Source organism: Homo sapiens, chromosome 2 (assembly GCF_000001405.40).
Source record: "Homo sapiens chromosome 2, GRCh38.p14 Primary Assembly".
NCBI lineage: Eukaryota > Metazoa > Chordata > Mammalia > Primates > Hominidae > Homo > Homo sapiens.
Genome location: NC_000002.12, coordinates 33,176,343 through 33,198,482, shown reverse-complemented (window position 1 = coordinate 33,198,482; position 22,140 = coordinate 33,176,343). Strand labels below are relative to the sequence as shown.

The window sequence follows — 22,140 nt, the reverse complement described above, 5'->3', positions numbered from 1 at the left end:
GAACTGGTACCATTCCTTCTGAAACTATTCCAGTCAATAGAAAAAGAGGGAATCCTCCCTAACTCATTTTATGAGGCCAGCATCATCCTGATACCAAAGCCAGGCAGAGACACAACCAAAAAAGAGAATTTTAGACCAATATCCTTGATGAACATTGATGCAAAAATCCTCAAAAAAATACTAGCAAACCGAATCCAGCAGCACATCAAAAAGCTTATCCACCATGATCAAGTGGGCTTCATCCCTGGGATGCAAGGCTGGTTCAATATACGCAAATCAATAAATGTAATCCAGCATATAAACAGAACCAAAGACAAAAACCACCTGATTATCTCAATAGATGCAGAAAAGTTTGTTTCTTATGGTTTTTAAAATATTTTCTAAGAGTTTTATAGTTGCAAACTATAAAAGTGGGTTCATGTGTTATTTGATCATCTTTATCTGTGTTAGAGTGCTGTACTTAAAACATATGCTGTATAAATCAGGGTTTTCCAGAGTCCTGGAATACCTGCTTTTTAATTAACTCAGGTATTTATATGTAAAATTTTCTGATCTTTCAGCATCTTGAAACAGGAAATCTTGAAGCACTTGAATTTTTTGTCTCCCCTTATAACGCTTCTGTCTGATTACGAGGCAGGTTCCTGGGTTCAACAAAGAGCACAGGCTTGTGCAACGAGGCAGTGGGCAGGTTCAGCATGGAAGCTGGACCCTGAACTCTATACTGTGATTCTAAATGCTTCCCATAGAAGGCCTTTTCATACCATCTGGCATAACTAGGTCACTACATGTTTGTTTCCAGGAACTGGGCAATCAATAAAACATGTTTGAAACAATCAAAAAGTCAGATGCCAAACAAGCTTTGAATTTAGGTCACTGTTAAAGAGATCCAATTTAAAAACAAAGGACACCCTTATACAATTGATTTTTATGTAAAAAAGATGAACATATTCAATGTTCCTATGATGCAAAAATAAATTGGAGGGGTATTTTCTGAAACTTGGCCTCTCCTCAGAGATGATAACTACCACAGAAATGTTCGGGTTTGAAGCCTGTGAAAAATGAGATTACCCTGAAGTGGCTGGTGATTGTAACCACTGGAATTGTCATTCTAACAGTCAGTGAGCAAACTCTTGCAAATGTTTTCACATATATGTAGACTACCACAACTTACTCCAGGTAGCACAGAAACCTAACTCTGCCAAAATTAGGACCGGCCAACTACTTCATACTTGATTTATATTCAAGAAAACCACTCCTGTCTGTCACCCTATATAGTTCTATGAGATCAATTTCTGTTCTTTGAATATAGGAGATTTAGTGATGCCTATAGAGACTGCCTATATAGACAGCCTAATTCACATAAACACCAATGATTTATTTGATTGTTAAACATATTTTTAGAACTCTGAAATACTAAACGTAACTTTTTACAAAAACAAAACAATAGAAATGTTTTTTTCCCTACAGGTTGGCATTCTCTGTCAAGGTGAGAAAACATTACAGAAACCTTTAACTCCATTATTCCCGCTCTTTTCTCATTATAATGCAATCCAAAGAAATGTCCTCTGTGGTCATGAATTTAAGCTATCATCAGCAAATCTATTCACTGATCACTGAATTTTCTCCATTAATTCTCTAGCATTCCATCTCGAAAACACCCTGGACTTCCTTGACTGATAATTAAGAGTACACCCTTCCTAATATTAATCAAGGATGAGGCTGCTTGTAACAAAGATGTCATTGCTCATCTTCTCACAATCCTCCCTGCTAAGGGTCAAGAAATCAACTCTGGTGAGCATTTATTTAGTTAGCATTTATTTAGCATTTATTTATTTAGAAGAAAATTCAGAACCGTTCATTTCTTCATCATCCTTGTCTTCACAACAGCCTGTAACGCAATCCTGATGCTTGATTCCTCACAAAATCCCCTATAGTCATCTCCTTTTTTTTCAACTTGACTTCTTAGATTGGCCCTTGGTCATTTCACAAGGCCAATTTCTCTTCCTTGGCCTCATGTCACCTCACACTCACCCAACACTCCCATTAAACAGTTAAAAACTTTAAGTTTGTTTCTAAAAAGTCTCTAAATGTATTACAGTGAAAGCTTTTAAATTCGGCTTTAAAATATACTATTCTATTTATAAGTCTAGGAAATTTTAATATTTTCCCCCTTCTTTCTAAAATATTTTCCAATATACTGAGATATTCAAAGGATAATACAATGATCACCTGCATATGAACCGCTCAAGAGTCAAGTTCGTGCTACTTGTGTGTAAAATACCTCTGAAACTACGGGCAATATCTCAGATATGTTGTGGGTTCAGTTCCTGACCACTGCAATAAAGTTATTATCACAATAAAGCGACTCACATGAATCTGTCAGTTTCCCAGTGCAAATAAAAGTCATGTTTACACTATACTGTCGTCTATTAAGTTTGCAGTAGCGCTATGCTTTAAAGTACATACCTTAATTTTAAAACACTTTATTGCTTTAAAAATGCTAATAATCATCGGAGCCTTCTGTGAGTCATAACCTTTTTGCTGGTAGAGGGTCTTGCCTTGATGTTGATGACTGTCAACCAATCAGGATGGGGGTTCCTGAGGGTTGGGGTGGCTGTGGCAATTTCTTAAAATAAGACAACAGTGAAGTCTGCAGCTTTACCTGACCCTTCCTTTTACTAAATATTTCTCTGTAGTAAGTGATACTGTTTGATAGCATTTGACCCATGCTAGAACTGCTTTCAAAATGAGTCAGTCCTCTTAAGTCCTGCTAATGCTTTATCAATTAAATTTATAGCGTATTCTAAATCCATTGTTGTCATTTCACAATGTTCACAGCATCTACACCAGGAGTCGATTTCATCTCATGAAAGCACTTTCTTTGCTCATTCATAAGCAGCAGCTCCTCATCCATTCAAGTTTGAACATGAGATTGCAGCAGTTTGGTCATATCTTCAGGATCCACTTCTAACTCGAGTTCTCTTGCTATTTCCACCATATCTGTAGTGACTTCCTCCACTGAAATTTTGTACCCCTCAAAGTCATCCATAAGGGTGGGATTTGACATTTTCAAGTATCTAATTTAATTAAATATCTTTAATGCTGATATTTTGACCTCCTCCCATGTATCATGAATGTTTCTAATGGCATCTAGAATGGCAAACTCTTTCCAGAAAGCTTTTTATTTACTTTGCCCAGATCCATCAGAGGAATCATGATCTATGGCAGTAATAGCCTTAAAAAATGTATTTCTTAAATAATAAGACTTGAAAGTCCAAATGACTCCTTGATCCATGGGCTACAGAATGGATGTTGTGATTGCAGGCATGAAAACAACATTCATCTTTTTGTACATCTCCATTAGAGCTCTTGAGTGACCAGGTACATTGTCAATGAGCAGTAATATTTTGAAAGGAATCTTTTATTCTGAGCATCAGTTCTCAATAGTGGTCTTAAAACCTTCGGTAAACCAAACTGCAAACACATGTGCCGTCATCCGGGCTTTGCTATTCTCTTTATATAGCACAGGCAGAGTACATTTAACATAGTTCTTAAGGGCCATAGAATTTTCAGAACAGCCTATGAGCACTGGCTGCAACTAAAAGTCACCAGCTGCATTAGCCCTTAACAAGAGAGCCAGCCTGTCCTCTGAAGCCAAGCAATGACTTTCTCTCTAGCTATGAAAGTCCTAAATGGCATCTTCTTCAGGTATAAGGCTGCTTAGTGTAGCCACCTTTATCAGTGATCTTCTGGACAACTTGCTGCAGCTTCTACATCAGTACTTGCTGCTTCTCCTTGTACTTTTATGGTATGCAGATGGCTTCTTTCTTTAAACCTCATGAACCAACCACTACTAGCTTCAGATTTTTCTTCTGCAACTTCCTGACCTCTCCAAGCCTTCAGAGAATTGAAGAAAGTTAGGTCCTTGTTCTGGATTGAGCTCTGGCTGAAGAGAATGTTGTGGCTGGTTCTAGACCTCTCTCAAACATTCTCCGTATTAGCAACAGAGCTGTTTTACTTTCTTATCATTCATGTACTCTCTGGAGTAGCACTTTTAATTTCCTTCAAGAACTTTTCCTTCGAATTCACAACTTGGCTAACTGATGCAAAGGCCTAGCTTTTGGCTTATTTTGGCTTTCAACATGCCCTCCTCACTAAGGTTAATCATTTTTAGCTTTTGATTTAAAGTGAGAGATGTGGCCGGGCTCGGTGGCTCACGTCTGTAACCCCAGCACTTTGGGAGGCCGAGGAGGGTGGATCACGAGGTCAGGAGATCGAGACCACCCTGGCTAACACGGTGAAACCCCATCTCTAATAAAAATACAAAAATTACCCGGGCGTGGTGGCGGGCGCCTGTTGTCTCAGTTACTTGGGAGGCTGAGGCAGGAGAATGGCGTGAACCCGGGAGGCAGACCTTGCAGTGAGCCAGGATCGTGCCACTGCACTCCAGCCTGGGTAACAGAGCAAGAACTCTGTCTCAAAAATAAATAAATAAATAAAAATAAATAAAGTGAGAGATGTGTGACTCCTTCTTCCACTTGAACATTTAAAGGCCATTGTGTTATTATCAATTAGCCTAATTTCAATATTGTTGTGTTTCAGCCAATAGGGATGCCTGAAGACAGGGAGAGAGATGGGGGAATGGCCAGTTGGTAGAGCAGTCAGAGAATACACATGTATCAATTAAGTTTGCCATCTTATATGGTTGTGGTTTGTGATGCCCCAAAACAATTACAATAGTAACAAAAATCACTTATCACACATCACCATAACAGATACAACAATGAAAAGGTCTTGAAATATTGCAAAAATTACCAACATGTGACAGAGACACAAAGTGAGAGCATGCTGTCAGAAAAACTTGCTTGCCTATAAGCAAGGCTGCCAGAACCTTCATTCAATTAGTAAAAGACACAATATCTATCTACAAAGAGTGGAAGTGAGGTGCAGTAAAAGAAAGTGTGCCTGTAAACTACGAACATCATGGAATTTCACCCCTAAAACTTTCAGCATTCATCTATTAAGAATAAGGACATTTTCCTGCTGGGTGCGGTGGCTCATGCCTGTAATCCCAGCATTTTGGGAGGCCAAGGCGGGTGGATCACCTGAGGTCAGGAGTTCTAAACCAGCCTGGGCAACATGGTGAAACCCCGTCTCTACTAAAAATACAAAAATTAGCTGGGTGTGGTGGTGCACACCTGTAATTCCAGCCACTCGGGAGGCTGAGGCAGGAGAATCCCTTGAACCAGGGAGGCAGAGGTTGCAGTGTCACCTCTGCTCCACTGCACTCCAGCTTGGGCCACAGAGTGAGAGACTCCATCTCAAAACAAACAAACAAAAAAGAATAAGGATATTTTCCTACATAATCCCAATACTATTACCACACATAAGAAAACTAGTAATTCCAAAATATCATCTAATGACATTTCCTATGGTTTGAATGTGTCCCCCAAAGTTCATGTGTTAGAAACTTAATCCCCTGAAAGCGACAGTGTTAGGAGTATGGGACCTAATAAGAGGGTCTTCCCTCATGAATGCATTAATGTCATTATCTTGGGAGTGGGTTAGTTATCACCAGAGTGGACTTGTTATAAAAGCAAGTTCAGCTCCCCCTTGCTCTCTTGTGTTCTCCTGTCCTTCTGCTATGGGGTGACTTAGTAAGAAGGCCCTGGTCACATGCTGGCATCTTGATATTGAACTTCACAGCCTCTAAAACAGTGAGAAATAAATGTCTTTTCTTTATAGATTACCCAGTCTGTGACACTCTGTTATAACAACACAAAATGGACTAAGACAGAGCTCATGTTCAAATTTCCCCAACTATTCCCAAAATATCTCTTAGATCTGGCTTTTTTTTAAAAAATCAAGATTTAATTAAGGTGAATATATTACACTTATTTTTTGTGTCTCTTTCTACAAACATCATCTCACTTTCTTTTATACTCTGATTTTTTTTTTTTAAGAAACCAGGCAACAATGCCCTACGTTGTCAATGTCTGATTGTTTTTTCTGTCTGAGTGTGATGTTTTTAACTTGTTTCTTTACCCTTGGTATTCCCTGTAAACTTGGGGTTAAGTCTAAGGGTTTGATTAGATTCAGGTTAGATATATTTGGCAAGAACACTTCATGGGTAATTCTGCACTCTATACTGTCTCACAGCAGGAGGCACATAAGGTCAGGCTGCCCCACTATTAATGACGCTGAGTTGATCACTTAGTCAAAGGGGCTTCCTGACACGCTGACCTTGCCAGCAAGTCATTTATACTGCACTATGCCTCAGATTTAAGAGGCTTAATATTTGTGCAATAGCCTGCCAAGAATCCCAAGCTATTTCACTTCTCTGATCTCTTCTGACAACTCTTCCCTGCCCATTTCTTGTACTGTTCTCTTTCCTCTGTTCAATTACTCTCCCTTTCTGCTCTGTGAGCTTGGTTTCCTCATCAATCATCCATTTTCCTCCACCCTCCAAACAGTTCTGAAATTCTACCCTACAAAGCTTTCCTGAATTTAAATACGTTGATCACAGTTCATCTTGGTGTTCAATCCCAAGTTTACTACCTAATTATTAGAATGTGCCACAGAAACAAGGGCTATCTCTGCCAAATTTATTTTGTATATGACCTCTCATAGCAACATATAAACATAGATGTTTATTGGTAACTATTGCATTGAAAGTCTCAATGTTTGACACTTGCAATTAATAAGACGGCTCCACTGAGCAAAGCAACAGTGAGCATTTATCCAGGGTTTTGTTTTTGTTTTGGATTATCTGCCATTTAAAATCTACCTATACCTCCTGGCTATAGCTACGTTTGCAAACCAACCACAGCAAGAAAGCACAAATGTTTTCAAAATCCTTTGTAGGATAGTAGGATACACCTACACACTATGATTATTTGCCAGTAATGTATTTTTTAAATGCCTGGTTCACCCTAATTGCACAAATTAATTGGGCAGTCTTTAGCATCCAGCAACATTCCTCATGAACAGGAAGACCAATAAATATATGCTGAGAATGCTTTCCAAAAAACAGGTCTTATTTTGAAGCTGTGTATGAGTGAGTACACATGCAAAATGAATTAAGAATTGAGATCACTGTTTGGATCTTTTAGACCAAAAGTCAGAGATGTATGCAGATAAGACAAAAGTATTCCAGAGTTTTAATTATTTGGGTAACTCCATCAATTAGCCAATTCATTTCAATTGTACACTCTAGGCTTACAAGTCAATAGTATCTTTTCATCTTTTCTTGTTAACAATCACCTAATATTATACAAGAATAACAAGTTTGTTATGCCTCATTTTCTTGCTTTTTATCATCTGTGTTCCAACTTGGAAACGGGGAGAAAGGTACTGGGCACACAATTTTAAAAAGATCTGCTTTTTCCTTTCTCCATGACCAACCTAAGCTGGAATGAATAAACAATGCAAATGGCACGAAATTTGTCCTCCCTCTCCAAGACTAGTTCAGTGCAAAGCTGTGAAGTGTATAAAGTTTATCTTCAGCCCCACTGTCCTTATCAAAATCTACCCTTAGCATAAACATTGTCTTTACTTTTAAGCTAAATTTAGACTGATGTTCCTTCTCCCAAAAGCATTTGCAAAACTGGGGAATGAAAAGCCACGTTAGGTCCCCTGTAGTCGCATTTCAGGTGTCCACAGGCCAATGAGGGCTGTGTTTGTGGGATCGATGCTGTCCCCTATCTTACTGAAAGCACATGATATAAAAACAGTCATAGTAGATGGCTGCTTAAGTTTGACTCATCTTGATAAATATTCTCTAAGCTAATATTTGCATCGTTCTATAATATTTGCAAAGCAGGGCTCACATTATCTTGATTAATCTTAACAAAGTCTCATGAGCCCCACATCTTATCTCTACTTTGCAGATAAGGAAGCCACTTCCCTCCTACCGAGTGCTGGGCTCACAGCTCTAATCAAGGTCTTACAACTCCACAAGGATGCTCTTTCCATTCCCATATGCTGCCTTCCATTCAGGTCTACAATCTCCCCTCCTTCTCCTAGAAGAAAGGTGACAATCTTACCATTGACTTACTACCTAAAAGTGTTTCCCAGGTTTCTAAAGCAGTGACAATTAGTTCTATTACTCCCAAGTATTTCATGCGCATATACACACACACACGATATATTTTTAATATTCAAGACATCGCAGAGGAATAATAATAAATGTATCTCATCTAGTCTTCTCATGAGGGGTTTAACCCATAACCAAAAGACAGGAGGGAAACCACAGAACGAAGCCTCCATCATTACCACATAATGGAGTGGAGGAACCAACGCTTTTAGGTTGTCTTCGCTATGCACATTCAATGATGAGTTTTAAAGAAAATTTTGCCTTTCTCTCACTTTATGATATAAATGTAGGCCTAAAGTTACACTTCAAACAACTCATGCACTACACCTTGCAAGTTATGAATTTTTTTTTCTTTCTTTTGAGACAGAGTCTCACTCCTGTCACCCAGGCTGGAGCGCAGTGGTATGATCTTGACTCACTACAACCTCCATCTCCCAGGCTCCAGTGGTTCTCCTGCCTCAGCCTCCCAAGTAGCTGGGATTACAGGCGCCTGCCACCACGCCGGGCTAATTTTTTGTATTTTTAGTAGAGACGGGGTTTCATCATGTTGGCCAGGCTGGTCTCGAACTCCTGACCTCAGGTAATCCACCTGCCTCGGCCTCCCAAAGTGGTAGGATTATAGGCATGAGCCACAGCACCCGGCCTGAATTTTTATAAGAAAATAAAAGATAACATGAAATATTACTTCCTGTCAAAGATGACATGAATTATTATTGCACAATGAATTCAAAACTCATGAACAAAACTACTGCAAAAGGCAAAAATATTTACAAGCATCTTTGCGGAATATATATTCTGTACCATATCTCACGCCTGACACATTTTATACACAGATCATCCTAACTGAAAAAATAGAAACAGGTAATCATGGACTTCCTGAAACATTTCTGGAAGCCAGGCATGGTAGCTCATGCCTATAATCCCAGCACTGTGGGAGGACGAGGCAGGCAGACCACTTGAGGTCAGGAGTTTGAGACCAACCTGGCCAACATGGTGAAACCCCATCTCTACTAAAATTATAAACGTTAGCTGAGAGTGGTGGCACGTGCCTATAATCCCAGCTACTTAGGAGGCTAAGGCAGGAGAATCACTTGAAGCTGGGAGGTGGAAGTTGCAGTGAGCCAAGATCGTGCCACTGCACTCCAGCCTGGGCAACAGAGTGAGACTCCAACTCAATCAATCAATCAATCAATCAATAAACAAATAAATAAATAAATGTATTCTGTACATCAGGGACTGGCAAGCTTTTTCTGTAAAAAGACACACAGTAAATATTTTAGGTTCCACAGACCATATGATCTCACTGGACTATTTAATTCTGCAGTCATCGCATGAAAATGGGCATAGACAGTATGTAAATGAATAAGTGTGGCTATGAGTGTGGCAATAAAACTTTATTTACAAAAATATGGCCACAAGTCATAGTTTGTCAAAGCCTTTTTTTTAAAAAAGCATTTTTATCAAGTCTGGCTTTCTTGTTAAAATGATACCATATCTGTAAGACACTGCTAAAGCAGGCTCGGTGATGATGTTTACCTGTGACCCAATGGTTTCCTGGAAGCACCGGCCAAGCTGTGTCTTAGCAGCCACGGGGTAGACGTGAGGAATGACCTGCTGGTGGGAGTATGTGGAATGTATGGTCTGGGTCTTCTGGACAGGAAGCCCTTGGTACGAGACTTGGGATTGGCCTGGTTGAGCTTCTTTTGTCTTCTGGCCTGTTGGGCCATCAATTCTTGAAACCTGATGTATCTGGACGGAAGCTTCAGGAGGATGTTTCACATGGATATTGACTATGTTAGGAGGAAATTTCACTACAACAGATTGGGAGGAAAACTTGTTAGTCCTGAATAACTAACAGGCAAATCAAAAGTTTTAAAACATGAAAGTAAATTTTATAAACATGCATGCATGTGTAGCATTTTGCTGCATAGCCATCAAAATTCTTTTTTTTTTTTTTTTTGAGATGGAGTTTCGCTCTGGTCACCCAGGCTGATGTGCAATGGCTCGATCTCAGCTCATTGCAACCTCAACCTCTGCATCCCAGGTTCAAGCGATTCTCCTGCCTCAGCCTCCCGAGTACCTGGGATTACAGGTGCCCACCACCATGCCTGGCTAATTTTTGTATTTTTAGTAGAGACGGGGTTTCACCACGTTGGCCAGGCTGGTCTTGAACTCTTGACCTCAGGTGATCCGCCTGCCTTGGCCTCCCAAAGTGCTGGGATTACAGGCGTGAGCCACCGTGCCCAGCCAGCCATCACAATTCTTAAGGGCACAGGCAAAATAAAAATTAAGCCTGAATTTATATGTTTTTAAAATTTGCAATTATAGAGAGAAATTAAAACTTTTAACAGTAATACATTCATGAGACTAAAATATTCTTTTCCAAAGTCATAAAGCTGTGAAATTCATGCTGCTTGTTCTAAGCAGGTAAATTTTATCAAATGTTAATCAGAAAGATCAAGCATTTGATTATTTTTGAATTTCTCATAAAATTTCTGTCATAAAAATTGTAGGATTTACATGTTTCTATTAAAAGAGAAAACCCAGTTTTACAAGGCACAATTCTCTTACCCTTAAATAATACAGTACCTGTTATTTTTGTGCTTCTTGTGACATACACACACACAAAATACCAAAGTGCATTATTTTATATCTATAACAAGCTACTTTCCGTAGCTTTCAAACAAAATCTCATCTCCTGATGCAAGGACTCAGGTTTTAAAGAATTAGAGCCAGTAAACTTCTATGATTCCCTTTTTAAAAGTGTGCATTTATAAAAATGCCAGGTTTAAAAGGATGAATTCGTCATAGAATTTTTGAGCTCCAAGTGACCTAGTTTACTTTCCTCTACAGACGAACAAATTGAAGTCCAGTGAGGTTAAATGATTGTTTACAACTAAAACCAAGCATTCTTCAATTGTGAAGTTCACCAGCAGGTACTGTGCGATCCACTAGCTTATTAATGCTGTAAGGGCCAGAACACTGTCTTGCTCATCTTTCTATTTCCCAGGCCTTGTCAGAACAGTACCATGCACATTTATTAGCTCTTGGTGGTAAAGAATCACTAGAGAAGAATGGGCTCCTTTTTATTTTCTTATTTCCTAGACACTAACTCTCTATGGCCTAGAAAGTACTGCAGCTACATACCTGGGCCCACATTCTGTCTCTACTGCCATTTCTCAGGCCACAAATCATGTACTCCTTTCTGTTTCAATACCAGCCCTGGCCACCCGCAGATCCTTGACTTCTATGTGGGTTTGGCAGGTTAACAGAGGTCTGGCAAATGGGCGGAATGAAAAAAGCTTACCTTTGACTCCTTGCTGGCTAGTCACGGTCAGAGGCAAGGTATGTGTTGAATGGATGACATGCGTCCCCAACGCCTTGCCTGGCTGCTGGGAATGCTGATAAAGTTTAGGCACGCTGGCACCATGGACTGGGATCTGACAAAGTTTTCCTGTGAAATTTGGAGGGCACTGACATTTGTCCCTTGAACTGCACTGGCCACCATTCATACATGGAAGATGGCAAATTACTAAAAGGGAAAAGAGAAAACATGGAGAGTTGGTTAGTCTCTCAGAGGCTAAGTAATGATCAACCAACAAAACCTGCAAAACATACAGCCCATTATAGGCATCAGAGTCCCATGACCTTTAGAAATGGTAAACAGAGGAGTAAACTCGCTATGCCAAAAGTAGTCTCCGTTACTGACTACCTTTTTCTTTCCATCTTAAGTCATTTAACTCTTTAATAGCTTGTAATTATTCTCCCTCCAACAATGGAAAGAAAAGTTCATAGGAAAAGAGTGTGTATATACAGTAGCCACTCAAGATGATTGTCTACCACCATGCCATTTTAAGTACCATTTGCAATCCATAATTATTTCATTAACTGACTCCCTAGATGATAAACTCCTCGAGAACAAGGGGTATGTATGGCCTGGTAGTGTGTATGGCCTGGTAACCTTAACATCCTTGGCACCTAGAAAAATGTCTGGCATACAATGGAGATTAAATAAGTATTTGCTCACCTCATTCTCCATGATGTGATTACGCATTGCATGCCTGTATCAAAACATCTCCTGTACCCCATAAATATATATACCTACTATGTACTCACAAAAATTAAAAATTAAATATATTTGCTCAAAAAATAAAGAAACAAATCAGTAATAAAAATAATATTTGTTGAAAATTTTCTCTATTTAAGACACTAAATGCTACCCAGAACAAATAAGTAGAATAGTTTGAATCATACTTTATAGGAATTTGCAATCTTGTGTAACAAGATCTCAGTGAAGTCCAAAATTAGTTTGGAATTAACTTATTTAGAATACTGAAAGGTAACAGGACAGACTGGGCAAAGAATTTTAAGAGGAGTTATAACTCTGGCTATTTTAGCTTATGGTCAACCTCTTTATCACTAATGAATTCTTCCTATCAGCCTTTAAACATCACAGATTTCCAGCAGCTTGAAGAATATTATAATAAAAGCCCCTCAGCTCCATTTCCTTCCAGCTTCTACCCTCTTTAAATCGTCTCCTCCATAACTAAACTTTCCACCATAATTGTTTGTTGACTTCTCAATGCGCTACAATCTATCTTGGGCCGGTTTATGTTTTCCCATTCCCTGCCCCTCCTCTACACAGAAACTATTCTTGCTAGGGTCATGAATGGTTTCCACATTTCTAAACCCAATGGATGGATTTCAGTCTTCCCTTGGTTTCCATGACACCTCACTCACCTATTTTGCTCCTTCCTCCTGCCTGATCCATCTTAACATTCTTTGCAGACTCTGCTCTCTTTACTTGTTCTTTATATACTGATGTGTGTTAAGGTTTGGTCTTGAAGTCTTCTTCACTGACTCTACACACTCTTTCTCTATGATTTCATCCTATCATACACTGATGTCACCCAAATTTTTATTTTCTGGTCAAAGCTTTCTTCCGAGCTTCAAATTGTCTACAACTATGTGTCACCATATACATATTTCATAGGCACCTCAAATTCAAAATTGAACTCATCGTCTTCCCTCCAATACCTCCATCCACCAAGCGATCTTTAAGAAACACCTGGGTGCTGCCCCCTCATTTTATCTACTCAAACATCTGGTCCTGGAAGTCCTCCCTCCTGAACATTCACCAAAGATGTCAACTTTTTGCCCATTACAGGGATCCTCTGCAATCTCATCACACTTAGCAATCTTACCTCATTCTCTACAATACAGCTACATGGAACTTAATTCAGTTCCTCAGTGTGCTCTCACCCTTCCAGAGCTTTATCCACACTGAGTCCTCTGCCTGGAACATTCTTTCCATCTGGCCTCCGTCAACTACCTGATTCCTACATATCTTTCAGACTCTGCCTGAACCTCACTTCTAGAAGCATTCCCATTGCCCCTCATCTAGGCTTGACACTTACCTTCTTGCTGCCACAAATCTGATTCACTATCCATCATTCCATGCATCTTATGGCATTACAACTGACTGACTACTTCTCTGTATGCCTCACTCAACCAGAGCTCTGTGAGGTCAGGAAGTTACCTTGTTATGTTTTACTGCTAGCACATAGCCCAATGTCTAGAAGAAATGCTAAAAAAAAAAAAAAAAACAGAAAATACTGAATGAGGGAAGGGACAGATTTATACCTATCACTCTGTCAAATGCCATTCCTCATGGTATAGAAGATTCAGTCCCTGCCCATCTAGGACTTAAAAGCTAAATGGAGAAATTAAATAACACATAACTAAAAACACAGATCAGCAAATAAGCGGTAACTGGAAAGTATGAAATATAAATCCTTTGGAACTGCAGAGGAGAAAAGACATTTCTAGGAAGTTAAAATAGACTTCACAGCAGAGATCATTTAGGATAAGTTTTTGAAACTGGTCAAGATTCAGACAACATCAGAAAGTGCATTTTAGGAAGACAATGCATAGAAAGGAGAGGTGGTGGGCATATTTGGGAGATAATGAGTAAACCTATGTTGCTGAAACCTCAGGTTCTAGAGGGAAGGGAAGAGATCAGGTGATAAATTCGAAGAAGGAGGCTTGTGTTAGACAAAGAAAGTTATTACAGGCTTGATAAGGGCTTTGGGTTTTATTCTGTTATCAGTAAGTTATTTTGGAGGCTTCAAGCAGAGGATTAAGTAAAGCTGCAAGAGTGTTCCAGGAAGATTACTCCAGTGATGGCATGCGGGATTAGCTGGAAAGGAGAGAGAGTAGAGTGGGAAAGTCAGTGAGGAAACTATTATAGCAATTGAAATTCAAGTTGAAAAACATATAATTAGGATGATGGCAACAGGAACTGAAAGAAACATGCAGTAACGTAAGGCTGGAGGGAAAATCAGTGGAACTTGATGATGGGACACAGGAGGAAAAGAGCAGGCCAAGGAAGAGGGGAGAAAGTGGAGGAGGGAGGAGAGAGTTGGAAAAATTACAAAGGTGACAACCCAGAAACTTTCTTCAGGGCGTAGGCTGCAGATCAAGTCAAAACTCCCCATGCTGGATGGGGTCTGAAAAATACCTTCATTAGTGCCCAAACTACTCTGTGAGGTCTTGGGTAAGAAAAGAGAAAGTCAAAGCTGACTCCAAGGTTGAATCAATGACTTTGAAACTCTCAGTTCAACTCTGATTTGATTTTCTGCACCACAGTTTGGCTACACTGGACAGGCTCAGTGTGTAATGGGTAAAGCAAAGGGAGCTAGGCCCAGCTTTAAATGTACTACAAAGAATTTATAACTGGAATACAGGCACTCCTCACTTGGTATGGTTCCAATACGCATGAATTTCCGTTACCGTAGTTTTGTTAAATAATACCAGTCCCCCGACAACGTGGTTCAGACTTCACTTACCAAGGTATATTAACTGAGTAACTGCATCAAATACAAACTTCACTGCTAGCTCTTTGGTTCGCAAATCATGATGTGAATAACAGATGTGTATCACGACCAATGACCAATCATGTCACTTCTCTGAAAGCCTGTCGGTGATTGGTCCCTGCACATCTGGTATTCAGTTCAGGAACAAACAGCAAAGCAGGTAGTTCTGCCATCTCCTCATCTCAGAGGGATAAAAATCACAGGACATTTTACAAAAGTGGATAATCGAAAGACAGTATGAGCCAACAAAAAAGAAAGTATAGCAAAGAAATACAAAGTGACAACACTGGAAGTGAAATTGGAAGGTGGCTGTAATGAACAGGATGAAGATTCCCAAAGGAATTAACATTAAAGTAACTCTCAGGTATTTCACAACTTTGGATCAGCTTCCAACGTTTTGTACAAACTCAAAAAGGAGTACGACAGTACACAAAAGAAAAGAAATACTCTATATCATCAGTTATACAATGAAAAGCAAACATGTTGAAATTATTCCCAAGTTTTACTCAAAGAAATGAAACATTTAACTCTCAATGTTTCTAACATTTTAAATTATCAAGTACTAAATAAATATTAGCTGTACTATTTTTTTCATTTCCCTATATATTAATAACCTACACTAAAACATTTTTAATGCTTTGGCAAAAATTTCTTAAGGTCATAGAACTCATCATTTTTAAATTGATTTTTAAGATGCAAAGTGAGGGCTCCCTATAATCAATCTATACTAGAATACAATGTGTGTGTATGTGTACACATACATACATATATATGTCTGTGTGTGTGTGTGTGTGTGTGTGTGTGTGTGTGTGTATATATATATATCACCATCTTTTCTTCTTTTTTTTTTTGAGACAGGGTCTCACTCTGTCACCCAGGCTGGAGTGCAGTGGCGCCATCTCGGCTCACTGCAAGCTCCGCCTCCTGGGTTCGTGCCATTCTCCTGCCTCAGCCTTCCGAGTAGCTGGGACTACAGGCACCTGCCACCACACCTGGCTAATTTTTTGTATTTTTAGTAGAGATGGGGTTTCACCGTGTTAGCCAGGATGGTTTCGATCTCCTGACTTCATCATCCGCCCACCTCGGCCTCCCAAAGTGCTGAGATTACAGGTGTGAGCCACTGCGCCCGGCCAACACCACCTTTTTTTAAACAAAGAAACAGTAACCAATTGACTTTTACAAGGTATTCCCAATATCAGCAGTAGACTTTGAACTCTATCATGAACTTAGTTTCATTTAAATCTACCTCTAACCCCCTGAGATAACCTCCACACAGTTGTTTCAAGGACTATACCAGCATACGTGGATACAGCAATAATCCCTAAACTCCAACAACCCTGTGTCTCTCTGGTTATAAAGGAAATGGTTTCTGCTTGACTTATTTCAACCAATAAAAGTCCAGTATTTATAACCCTTTATGAATAATAAATAAAATATCTATTCTCCAGTTCTAGCATTTCTAAAATCTAAATGACAATATAAAGCTCTTTGTCTCAGCTCAATAAGTATGTATTGAACCCTTTGTGGCAGGCAGTCTTTTTATACCTAATAGTCAGTTACATCACAGAAACAAATTGAAAATACACCTACAAACTTTAGGATTCAACTATGAATAGTTTCCTTCTGTTTCAAAAGTTCATGCCACTCTCAAAACATCATCTAGTGATGTATCATCTGTGCTTCCCAAGTTCTATAAAACCTCAGAACATCAAGAGGAAAAGAGTACGTTATTGTTAAGGTTGACTTGAGATGCTTGTGGTACGCTGGTTACAAGGCTAGCCATGGGGCATATATTTTAGAAAATATTACAGGAAGGTGAACTGCAGAATGCTGGCTGAGACATTCCATAACCTTGTTAGCTTGATACTTTGCTGGTCATCACCATAATTCACTATATTGCATCAGAGAGTCACCTGGGAACTACTGCAATTAACAAGAGGTAGGCCTTCAGCCTGTTACTCCAGAAAGTGTAATTTTGTGACGGTCACTCAAAGTATCTCACGGTACAACTGTAAAAGGTCAAAATGAGCAAAAGGATCCATGCTGGAAGAACAACAAGCTGGAGGTTTTAAATAAGTCAGGCGTTTCAGTTGTATTCCACCATTCACTTTGGTCTGTAAAACAACTTGCAGTACTCAAGTAATTGGGCTGACAGAATAATATTCACATTCTGTGCCACGAATTGGAACCTTGTTTAGATGAACAAATATTCATGACTTGTATATAAATGCGGGCAAACTGAATTTTCTAAAAATTTATACCATAAAAAGGCAGACCCTGCCTCTTTCTTTCCTGTTATCTTAGCTGACTATAAAAATACTTCGGCTGCTGGTTCCCAAAAGGCACTCTAAGAATGTTCTTGACCTTCCTGCAGCAGGGTCCTGGCCACTCCACCCGCTCCCTGGCTTTCTGTGCCAGCAGACAGACCATTTCAAGTTATCGTGGCAAAGGCAGAGCAGGGAAAACAAACCTCCATCTGAAGGAAAACCCGTATCTGTCCTTTTGCAGAACAGACACACACATGATTTTGATTTGACTTTCCCACTTGTCTCTGATTAGAATAATATTCCCTTAAAGGCCTTCAGCATTTTTGTTGATATCCCTTGCAGGGCTGGTTGGTGATGGGTAGCAATATTTTTAGAAAGTTAAGTTACCACATTATTTCTCCCCCCATTCTGCTTTAGGATAACAAATATGTTATATAATAATTACATGCTACAGCAAACCATTGCTCACTTTAAGAACCTATGCTACTTAGGCTGGGCACGGTGACTCACACCTGTAATCCCAGCACTTTGGGAGGCCCAGGCAGGCAGATCACTTAAGGCCAGGAGTTCAAGACCAGCCTGGTCAACAAGGCATACCCCCGTCTCTACTTTAAAACATCCCAAAAATTAGCCAGACATGGTGGCATGTACCTGTAGTCCCAGCTACTTGGGAGGCTGAGACATGAGAATCACTTGAACGCGGGAGGCAGGGGTTGCACTGAGCTGAGATTGCACCACCGCACTCCAGCCTCAGTGACAGAGTGAGACCCTGTCAAAAAAAAAAAAAAAAACTATGCCACGCTACACAAAACCAAACCTATATGCTTGCCTTTTCATTCGGTATGCATCACCAAGGGGAAAAAAGAAAGGCTGGACTCCAAGAAGACAGTTACCTTCTTCTAAAGCTAGAACAGAGGAACCAGGAAGGCCTAGTCCTACACATGACCAAGAAAGAAGAATGTGGACTGGTTTTGTCCCTATGGAATGTGGAGATTTACAGTTGTTGTGTTCTAAAACTGCCTATCTTCAATTCTTGATTATCTGTCTGTTAACTTATACTGACTCGGACTCCATCAAAAAACCAGAGTTAGGGTGATCCAGAACAACCTGTCCAAGGAAGTGAGATTTAAGCTGAACCTAAAGGGGGAAGAATACAGCAAGATGAAAAGTTGGCAGAAGAGTGTTTACAGAAGAACAAATAACATGAGTGAAGACCTTGAGGTGAGGTGTTTTAGAAAGGCTCCAAAACTGAGAGGGAGCTGATGTGGCTGGAGTGTAAGAGGCAGGGAGAAAGGGAGACAAGCTGGGTTTCAGATACAGACACAGGCCCGATTCCTGTTCATTTCCATAAGGATATAAGGCAGTCTGTAAAAGTAGACAGAGTTAAACACAAAGAATATAAATGATAGATTAAAACTTAGGACCCAGGCAGATCTGAATCACAGGACACAGAACCGGGGAAAAACAAGGATAGCTACAGGATCTTCTATTGGATACGCTTTCAATGTGCACTGGACACTTGGCTTTGGGTTTTTAAACCTTATTTTACATTTTTAAATAACCCATTAGCCAGATTCTAATTAAATTTCTAAAAGTTTTAACTTAAAACTCACTAAATATATAATCATTATGAAGGTACAGGGATTTTCTTTTACATATGAGAGAAGAGACTAGTATTCTCCATAGTACATGCAAAAGACACAACAGAGTTCCAAAGAGAAAATGCTTTAAAAAAGTTAAAGATGCACCCAACACTCCCCATCAGTGAGCATCTCTTTGGTTTTTTTTTTAAGAATATATGCATTTATTTGACATCAGATGTAAAAATACATTATCGTTTCATTCTTTTATAATGAAGGTGTTTTCTATTTTATATATCACAAGAACTAAAAGACTTCACGAATATTCATAGTAACCATTAGTTTTAAACTCTAGATGAGGGGTTTCCAATCTTTTGGCTTCCCTGAGCTACACTGGAAGAAGAACTGTCATGAGTCACACATTAAATACACTAACACTTATGATAGCTGATGAGCTTTAAAAAAAATCACAGAAAGATCTCATGTTTTAAAAAAGTTTGCAAATTTGTGTTGGGCCGCATTCAAAGCCATCCTGAGCCACATGCACCCCATGGGCTGGGGTTGGACAAGCTTGCTCTAGACAAAGAGGTGACTTTTTAAAAACAGCAAATAAAAGCATGCTGGGGGCCAGGCATGGTGGCTCATGCCCGAAATCCCAGCACTGTAGGAGGCCAAGGTGGGAGGATCACTTGAAGCCAGGAGTTTGAGACCAGCTTTGGCAACACAGTGAGACCCCATCTCTAAAGAAGAAAAAGAAAAAAGGAAAATAAAGCATGCCAGAAGATGTAGAAACATACTAATTAATACCTACAAAAATGTTGGGGGTGGACAGACATCATTACAAGGAAGTTCCTCCACAGGATCTACCAAGACTATTATCATCAACAAACCAACATGGTGGTGAGATACCATTCAAGCATCACTGACTTTAAAGACTATTTTAACCATTGGTTTAGTTCATTCAAGCAAATAGGACATTACTCTTTTTGTTACCTGCTTTGAAAATTAATAAGACCATTTTCATTCCATCGCCACCTATCAAATACCAGGTATATCAAGCTAATGTTAAAGTAAATGCAGATTTCAACAAGTAGAAAAGATCAACCTCAATGCAAACAACAATTCCAAAAATACCACAAATTTTTAATGCTGGTGGGCATTAGTAAATGCTTCAATAACATGTTCTGTTTATAACCCAGGAGATACGAAGCGCTATCACACACACCAGATGAGATGAGGCCATTCATCATCTCAACTTTGTTTATAGCTTCCTGTTCATTTATCATCAACCTCGCCATTGCTGTGCGCTATCTATTTTGATCTAGTTTTATACCTTGCATAACCTAAGGAGCTCCATATATTAGGCATGTCATAAAATTCCACTTCACATTCTTCATCACAGATGCTGTCATTGTCGCTCTCTCCTAATGATTCCTAAACCTCAAGGCTCTGTCCCCCTTAGGAAAAACGCAGCAACATTTGTTGGCTGCAGAAACACCAAACACCTTGAGATTGAGGCCTCCTTCGGCAACAATCTTAAAAGACTTCAAAATCACTATGTAGACTACAGTGTCTCCATCTGCAAAAATGAGGTGGCTGAGGGACACAATCCACAGGTTCCTTTCCATCCCTGTAATTCAGCAGGCTGGGGAGCAGCCCTTGGGGATCATCAGAAACACTTGCAGGGGGTACAGAGGGGTGCAGGTAAGCAAGCAAGGGCTTTTGGCTAGCGTAATGTGATTTGATCATTACATTATCTATGCCCACAAATTTGTAAAGCCTAGATGAGTGTTCAGATTACAGTTTAACCACTACAGTTTACATTTGCATTCTTTTCTTACTACACAGCCTTCATACAGGTATGCACCATGTATTGCTACAGAGCCTTAATGATTGATTTTAGTAGCTATATAATATTCCATTGGCAGATGGTAAATTATATAGCCATTCCTCTACTGTGCTTAGCTTGTCTGCATTTCTTTCTTTGTTTCTTTCTTTGAGACAAGGTCTCACTCTGTCACCCAGGCTGGAATGTAGTGGTGTGATCTCGGCTCACCGCAATGTCCATCTCCCAAGTTCAAGCCATTCTCCTGCCTCAGCATCCCAAGTAGCTGAGATTACAGGCACCCACCACCACTCCTGGCTAATTTTTGTATTTTTAGTACATACAAAAATTATGTACTAAACAGGGTTTCACCATGTTGGCCAGGCTGGTCTTGAACTCCTGACCTTAAGTGATCTGCCCACTTCAGCCCTGCAAAGTGCTGGGATTACAGGTGTGAGCCACCACGCTCAGCCTTGTCTGCATTTTTTAACTATTAGAGATAAAGCTCCAAAGAATATCCTCCACAAGCACAAAGTTTTATTCTTAGTAATTATTTTCTCATGCATTCAGTTAACATTTACAAATTGCTTAGTATGCAAGGCAATGTGCTAGGAGATATAGCGAACAAGAAAATATAACATGAGTCGATTACACTAATGTAACTGTCTCACCATGGGGAGAATACAGAGCATAGACATTAAGAGCAACAGCCTGGAATCAGACCTCCAGGAGTTTGAATCCCAACTAAATTATTTCTTACTGGCAGGACATTGGGTAAGTTATTTAATGTTTTTCTACCCCACTTCTTCACCTGTAAAATGAGAAAAATAATTGTATCCAGCTCATATGGCTGTTGTGTGACCTGAATGAATTCATATATTCACAGTACACAGAACTCAGCACATAGCAGGCACTCAGCAAACGTTAGCCATCCTCATCAACTTCGTAATTATGATGGCAGGGCGCAATGAGAAGAACATATAAAAGGGAAAGCAAACCAGCATATCAGCAACAAAAGGGATGTGCAAGGTGTCGAAATCACTATGACTTGAAAATTAACCATCCCAAAGCATACATAACAGCTTTGGGATGGTTAAGCACAGTGGCTCAAGCCTGCTCATGCCTGCCATCTCCACATCTTGGGAAGCTGGTCAGGTCGTGCACTATACTGTAGATTATTTCGTTCACCACTTTCTCTAGAATCTAGTGCTGGGCTGTTGAATTTCTGAGTATATCAACAGATGAATTTCCAAAAAGAATATGTCAATCAATAACGTCAATAGCACTATATTAATATATTAAATTAACATGTTGTCAGCCAGGCATGGTGGCTCACGACTGTAATCTCAGCACTTTGGGAGGCTGAGGCAGGCAGATGACGAAGTCAGGAGATCGAGACCATCCTGGCCAACATGGTGAAACCCCGTATCTACTAAAAATACAAAAAATTAGCCGGGCGTGGTGGCGGGCGCCTGTAGTCCCAGCTACTCAGAAGGCT

At 39.7% G+C, this 22,140-nt stretch overlaps 1 protein-coding gene across 65 annotated transcripts in view; it reads right to left on the bottom strand.

The window, feature by feature from the left end:
- LTBP1 (latent transforming growth factor beta binding protein 1) overlaps window positions 1–22,140 on the bottom strand; it is a 452,557-nt gene that overhangs the window by 201,027 nt on the left and 229,390 nt on the right. For all 65 annotated transcript variants that reach the window (XM_011532853.3, XM_011532857.3, XM_011532861.3 and 62 more), the window contains 2 exons: window positions 11,403–11,627; window positions 9,632–9,906 (listed from right to left, as the gene is read on the bottom strand). In XM_011532853.3, the coding sequence (XP_011531155.1) occupies window positions 9,632–9,906; window positions 11,403–11,627 (500 nt within the window). The remainder of the gene's footprint in view (window positions 1–9,631; window positions 9,907–11,402; window positions 11,628–22,140) is intronic.